This window comes from Homo sapiens, chromosome 3, assembly GCF_000001405.40.
Source record: "Homo sapiens chromosome 3, GRCh38.p14 Primary Assembly".
Taxonomy (NCBI): domain Eukaryota; kingdom Metazoa; phylum Chordata; class Mammalia; order Primates; family Hominidae; genus Homo; species Homo sapiens.
The window spans coordinates 89,566,368-89,574,548 of NC_000003.12; positions in this window are offsets into that span (position 1 = coordinate 89,566,368).

Genomic DNA, 8,181 nt, shown 5'->3' on the forward strand with positions numbered 1-8,181 from the left:
GCACTTTTCAATGGAAGTTTTGCAGCCCAGGAGAGAGTGGCATGACATATTTAAAGTGCTGAAGGGAAAAAAATAAATAAACTTTACCCTAAAATAGTATATCCAGCAACAATATCCTTCAAACATGAAGGAGAAATAAAGACTCCCAGACAAACAAAAGCTGTGGGATTTCATTAACACCAGACCTGTTCTACAAGCAACACTAAAGAGAGTATTTTAATCAGAAAGAAAAGGAAATTAATGAGCCATAAGTAGTTACCTGAAGGTATAAAACTCACTGGTAATAGTAAGTACACAAAGAAACACAGACTATTATAACACTGTGGCTGTGGTGTGTAAACTACTCTTACCTTAATTAGAAAGACTAAACAATAAATACATCAAAAATAATAACTGTAAGAACTTTTAAAGACACAGTCAGTACAATAAGATATGCATAGAAACCACAAAACATTAAAAAGTAAGGGGATGAAGTTAAGGCATAAGAGTTTGTATTAATTTTCATTTTGCTTGTTTGTTTATGCAAATAGTGTTAAGCTGTCATCAGGTTAAAATAATGGATTATATGACAGTATTTGCAAGACTCATGTCAACCACAAGCCAAAAAACATACCATGGAGACACAAAAAATAAAAAGCAAGAAACTAAATCATACCACCAGAGAAAATCACCTTTGCCAAAGGAAAACAGAAAGGAAAGGAGACCAAAAAAAAAAAAAAGCCCCAGAAAAAAAATTAACAAAATGACAAGAGTAAGTCCTTACTTATCAATAATTACACTGAATGTAAATAGACTAAATAACAATCAAAATACATAGACTGGCTGAATAGATGAAAAAAAAAGACTTATTTATCTGCTGCCTAAAAGAAACACCCTTCACCTATAAATATACACATAGACCAAGAATAAAAGATTGAAAAAAGATATTCAATGTCAATGAGAAACAAAAAAGAATGTGAGTAGCTATATTTATATCAGACAATATAGATTTCAAGACTGAAATTATAAGAACAGACAAAGACGGTCACTATATAATGATAAATGGGTCAGTTCAGCAAGAGGATATAGCTATTGTAAATATATATGCACTCAACCTGAGCACTCAGATATATAAAGCAAATATTACTAGAGCTGAAGAGAGAGATAGGTCCCAATGCAACAATAGCTGGAAACTTCAACACTCCACTTTCAGCACTGTACAGATATTCCAGACAGAAAATCAACAAACGAACATTAGACTTAATCTGCACTATAGACCAAATGGATCTAATAGATATTTACAGGACATTTCATCCAAGAGCTGCAGAATACACATTCTTTTACTTTGCACATGGTTCATTCTGAAGGATAGGCTATATGTTAGGTCACAAAATGTATCTTAAAGCAATAAAAAAAATTGAAATAATATCAAGCATCTTCTCTGACCACAATGGAATAAAACTAAAAATTAATAACAGGAGGAATATTGGCAAATATGCAAATACATGGAAATTAAACAATATGCTCCTAATGACCAGTGGGTCAATGAGAAAATTAAGAAGGAAATTAAAAAATTTCTGGAAACCAATGATCATGGGATACATGCTGTAAAACCTATGGGATACAGTAAAGGAAGTACAAAGAGAGACGATTATAGTGATAAGTGCATACATCAAAAAAAAAAGGAAAAACTTCAAATAAACAGTCTAACATTGCATCTTAAGAAACTAGAAAAGCAAGAGAAAATCAAATCCAAAATTAGTAGAAAAAAAGAAATAATAAAGATCAGAGCAGAAATAAATTTCAGTGAAAAAAATACAAAAGATCAATGAAACAAAAACTTGGTTTTCTGAAAAGTTTAACAAAATTGACAAATCTTAATCCAGACTAAGAAAAATAAGAGAAGATACAAATAAATAAAATCAGAAATAAAAAAGGTGACTTACAACTGATACTGCAGAAATTAAAAGGATTATTAGTAGGTACTATAAGCAACCATATGCCAATAAATTGGAAAATCTAGAAGAAATGGACAAATTCCTAGACACATACAACCTGCCATGTTAAACAAGGAGAAATCCAAAACCTGAGCAGAACAATAACAAGTAACAAGATTGAAAACGTAATAAAAACTCTCCCAGTAAAGAAAAATGCAGGTCCCAATGGCTTCACTGTTGACTTCTACGAAGCATTTAAAGAACTAATACCAATCCCACTCAAACTATTTTAAAAAACAAGCGAATAGGGAATACTTTCCACCTCATTCTATGAGGCCAGTATTACCTGATACCAAAACCAGACAAAGACACATCTACAAAAGAAAACTACAGGACAGTATTTCTGATGAATATTGATGCAAAAATACTCAACAAAATACTAGCAAACTGAAATCAACAATACATTAGAAATTTTATCCATCATGAGCAAGTGAGATTTATCCCTGGGATGCAAGGATGGCTCAACATAGGCAAATGTGATACATCATATCAACAGAATGAAGGATAAAATTCAATGTTCATTTCAACTGATGCTGAAAAAGCATTTGATAAAATTCAACATTCCCACTTGATAAAGACCCTCAAAAACTGGGGAGAAAATGAACATACTTCAAATAATAAAAACTATATACAACAGACCCACAGCTAGTATCACAGTGAATAGGGAAAAACTGAAAGCCTTTCCTCTAAGATCTGGAACATGGCAAGGATGGTCATTGTCACCACTGTTATTCAACATAGCATTGGAAGTCCTAGCTAGAGCAATCAGATAAAAGAAAGATATAAAAGACACCCAAATTGGAAAGGAAAAGGTCAAATTATCCTTGTTTGCAGATGATATGATCTTACACCTGGAAAAACCTGGAGACTCCAAAAGAGAACTATTATGATTGACAAACAAATAAAATTTCAAGATACAAAATCAACATACAAAAATCAGTAGCATTTCTATATGCCAACAGTGAACAATGTGAAAAAGAAATTTAAAAAGTAATCCTATTTACAATATCCACACATAAAATTAAATACCTAGGAGTTAGCTGAAGAAGTGAAAGATCTCTGTAATGAGAACTATAAAATACTGATAAAAGAAATTGAGAAGAACACAAAAAAAAGAAAAATATTCCACATTCATGGGAATCAGTATTGTCAAATGTTTATATTACCCAAAGCAACCTACAGATTCAATGCTATCACTATCAAAATACCAATGACATTCCTTGCAAAAATAGAAAAAACAATTCTAAAATTTATATGGAACCACACCTCCCCAACACACACACAGAATAGCCAAAGTTAACTTGAGAAAAAAGAATGAAACTGGAGGAATCACATTACCTGACTTCAAATTATGCTATAATGCTATAGTAACCAAAGCAGCATGATACTGGCATTAAAAAAAAAAAAAAAAAAAGATATATAGACCAATGGAACAGAATAGGGAACTCAGAAACAAATCCAAACACGTACAGTGAACTCATTTTTGACAAAGGTGCCAAGGACATACACTGGGGAAAATGTCATCTCTGCAACAAATAGTGGTGGGAAACTGGATATCCATACACAGAAAAATGAAACTAGACCCCTATCTCTCATCATATACAAAATCAAATCAATATGGATTAGAGACTTTAATCTAAGGCCTCAAACTATGAAATTACTACAAGAAAACATTGGGGAAAATCTCCAGGACATAGGTGTGTGCAAAAATTTCTTGAGCAATACCTGTGGGGTATTAAATAGAAAACTCGTTTTTGATAAAAACTCTCAGGAAACTAGTAAAAAAAAAAAACAAAAAACAAAAAAAAAAAAAACAAAGAGGAGAGAGGTAATTTCCTTAACCTGCTATAAAACAACCAGAACAAGCCTACAGCTAACTTTATACTCAATGGGAGATGCTGATACTTTTCTTTGACATAAAGATCAAGGCAAGTATATATAATTTCTGACTTCTGTTAAACATGTGCAGGTGTTCTCCAGTGCACTAAACCAGGAAAAAGAAATAAAACACATTCAGATTGAAAAGAAGGAAAACTGTCTTTATTGGCAGATAACATGATAGTCTTGGGATCCTTAAGGTGTTGCTTTTCTAGCCAGAAACCTCTGTGGCCGTTGGCATCTTTGTCCGAGTTTTGCTCAGGCCTGCTGGGCTTGTTCCATCTACTTGGCCTGGCAGGCTGCACTTGGCTTGTGTTATGGGCCCAAATTCGACACCTGCCAAGGGCAAACCAGGAATGGAATGGTGAGGGGTGCATGTGCAAGTGAGCGCAGGGTCCAGCCACTGTGCACAGCCAGGCATGAAGGCTGCTATGGCGGGGCAGGTAGCTCCAGGCACCGGCAAAGGTGCCGGCTCCATGCATGCATGTGGCTGGATCTGATGCACTGCAAGCAGCTTCTGCTGTGGGCACTCATGTCTGGACAAGGGGAATGCAGTGACATCCAGAAGCTTGGAGATGCCAGAAACTGCAGAGCCCCAAAGAGGGTGTCAGAGTCCTGGCTTGGGGACCCCCTAGGTCTGGGACCCCTAAAGGGCAGCAGCCCTTTTTTTCTCATTGCCTGCAATGTGGTAACCAGTCACGGGGAGGTGGGGGGGGGGGGGCGGGGTGGCGGTTTCAGCCCTGCTTTGTGTTACAGCTCTTTCAGTCCCACTATTCAGTGAGTCCCAAGTTTTTGTCCCATGTCCAGAAAGAATGACATATGCAGACAACTGGAGAGTAAGCAAGGGAGACAGTGAGTGATAGAATAGCCCTTCAGAGACCCGAAGTGGGTAGTTTCTTTCCACAGGCAGGTCCTTCTGATGAGCGCAGCCCTTGGTGGAGAAGAGACCCAGGGTGGGTATCTGCAGGCAGGTCATCCTGACCTATCTGTAGGCAGGTCGTCCCAATGAGTGTCCAGCTCTCAGCAGAGAGGAGACCCGGAGTGGGTAGAGCTCCTTTCTGCAGGCAGGTTGTCGTGAGGAGTGCAGCCCTCAGCAAACAGGAGACTCGGAGTGGGTAGAGCTCTTTTTTCTGCAAACACGTGGTCGGATGGGTTAAGGAGACTCAAATTGGGTAGCTCCCTCTCACAGCTGGTAGTCAGTTATCTCTGTGAGTCTGACTGTGTCTGGGATTTTTATGGTCTCAGAAGGGAGGAACTGCGTGCTGATTGGTCCGTGGGCAGCCGTGGGCAGGACTGGAAAAAAGCATCGTGTAAGTTCTCATTGAGGGCCGTGGACTCCAACTGGATTTGACAGCCTGGCCCTCAGGCTTCAGGGATGACAGCCAGCCCCCACGCTTCAGGGCTTGAGGTGGGGGGAGGGGGCTTCGCTGGGGACCCACTCCTTTATGCTCAGGAGCCTATCTGTCTCCTGCTGCCATCAATCAGGTTGTCCAAGGCACGCAGAGTGTTTGTGCTGAGGGGTGCCTTGCAGGCCCACTCTGAGCTGCCCTCAGCACCTCATTGGCCTTCCTTCCATGCTTGTTAGTGCCTGAAACCCAGAAGGGGCCGTGGCAGCAGGGTTCTGTCGTGTCAGCACCGCCCTGAGCATACAGACACCAGCTGGGTTGCAACAAATGTCTGGGCTTGGCTTCAACTTTGCTCTAAAATTGGAGTGGGCGCTGGCAGTGGGGGGAGGGCAGGCAGCAGGAGCAGGCAATTCTGAGCCTGTCAGCGGGTCTTCCCAGGCTCCTGAGAGCATAGGGATGCCCGGGTACACAGCTATGGCTGGGAGGCTGCAGCTGTGCTCAGGAACATGGGGCTCCTACCCCACCAACTTGGAAGAGGGTTCCCACCTGTTCCTGGCTCCCGCTGGCTCCATGGAATGTGCAGCCCCAGTCATGCCCTCCCTATTGCAGCTGGCATCTTCACAGTGGCCACTCCAGATGGGCCACCACTGCCATCAATAGTTTATGTAGAAATTCCTAAGGATTTTCCCACAGATCTACCAAAAAAGGTAGAGGAAAAAATAGGTGAGTTTAGCAAGGTTGCAGAATAAAAGTCAGTACACATACATTGATTTTACTTCTATATGCTATCAAAAAATAACTCTGAATTCAAATAAAAATACCATTTGCAATAGAACAAGGATATGAAATACTTAGTAATCAATCTGGCAAAAGATGTGCAAGACCTGTACACTGCAAATTGCACAATGTTGCCAAGATAAATTAAGAAACCTAAGTGAATGGTGAGTAATACCACATTCATGGTTTGGAAAATTCCATATTTTTGAGATTTCTGCTTTTCCGAAATTGATATGTTAATTCAATTCAATCACATTCAAAACTAGTCATTTATCTTTTCTTTCAGAAACTGACATGCTGATTTTAACATTCATTTGAAAAGGCAAACCAACTAGAATAGCCCAAACTTTGCAAAAGGAGAATAAAGTTGGAGAATGCATTAATTATAAACTATACTTATTTTAAAATGAAAATAAATATAACAATTCTAAAACTAGAGTTATTATCAAATAAACTTATTTTAGCTCATTGTAAAACTACAGTAGTCAAGACAACATGACTCTGATGTGAAGACAAACATATAAATTGGTGAAATAGAAGAGGAAATCTGAAAACAGTCCCACACATATCTGTTCAATTGATTTTTAGAATAATTGCCAAGAAACTCCAATGGAGAAAGTTTAATGTTTTCCACAAATGGTGCTATAACAATAGGATATTTATAGACAATAAAATTACGCTTAGTCCTTAACTCACACTATGTTAAAACATTTACTCAAAATAGATCATTGCCCTAAATGTGAAAGCTAAAATAATACACTTTCTAGAAAAGGAAACTAAAATGAAAATCCTAGTGACCTTGGTTTGGGCAAATATTTTATAAATAGGGAACAAATACCAAAAACAATAAATAAATTATTGATAAACTGGACCTAATAAAAATGTAACGCTTTTGCTGTTTAAAAGACACTTGAGAAAATGTAAGAAAAGTCCCAGCCTGGGACAAAATATTTTCAAGACTTGTATCTAGAATATATAAATAACTTTTGCAACTCAATCGCAACACAAACGACCTTTCAAAAATCATGGTCAAAAGTTTTGAATGGACACTTTACTAAAAAATATATAAAAATGTCCCACTAGCACATGTACACAATTCTGTTTATGAATTGTTATTAGATAAATACAAATTAAAACCGGAATGAGATACCAGTACATGGCTTTTAAAAAGTTGAAAATTAAAAATCCTGACCAAATCAAGTATTGGTAAAGATGTGGAATAATTGAACCTATTGATATGAAATACTTGAAAAGCAAACTAATCTATAGTTATAGGTAACAGACCAGAAATTGTCTGGGATTGGCTGAAGGGTAGAGGATAGGGCAGGGAGATCAGGAAGGAAGGGTTATAAAAGAGCATGAGAAACCTTTTGGGGTGGTTGATATTTTCATTAACTTGATTACAATGATACTTCTCTAGGTATATTCACATGTCAAAAGTCATCAAGTTAAATTCTGTAAATACTTGCCATTTATTATGCCAATTATTCTTAAATAAAGTCCTTTTTTATCCCCCACGAGGTGGAGTCTCATTTTGTTGCCCAGGCTGGAGTGCAGTGGCATGATCTTGGCTCACCACAACCTCTGCCACCCGGGTTCAAGCAATTCTCCTGCCTCAGCCTCCTGAGTAGCTGGGATTACAGGCTCCCACCACCACACTCGGCCTGGCTAATTTTTGTATTTTTTAGTAGAGACAGGGTTTCACCATGTTGATCAGGCTGGTCTCGAACTCCTGACCTTGTGATCCACCCACCTCAGGCTCCCAAAGTGCTGGGATTACAGACGTGAGTTCTAAAAAAGAAAGAAAGAAAAGGAAAATATCCCATTGGTAGGAGGTATGTCTCTGCAGTTTCCAAGCCAACTTTGAGACAGTAGCGCCATTATACCTTAAGTCAGTAATAAAGTCACTTTATTATGCTTTAATTGTCCTAATCGTTACGGGGGATAAAGTTTTTAAATTTACTTTTTAAATGTTTTAGCTTTCTAATTTTATTTATTTCTTGTATCTTCCATCCTCCCACTGAATTTCTGAAGACTCCTTCTTGCCCTTAAATGTTTTGGATGAAAAAGTGATGTGTTTTGTGATTAAAATCAAGAACATCCTACCAAGACATTATACATTTTATACACCACTGGAAATTCATGTCATAATGTAATTTCTTCTGTAACTTCAAATAATATTTTTTTTCTGCAAATTATCATCA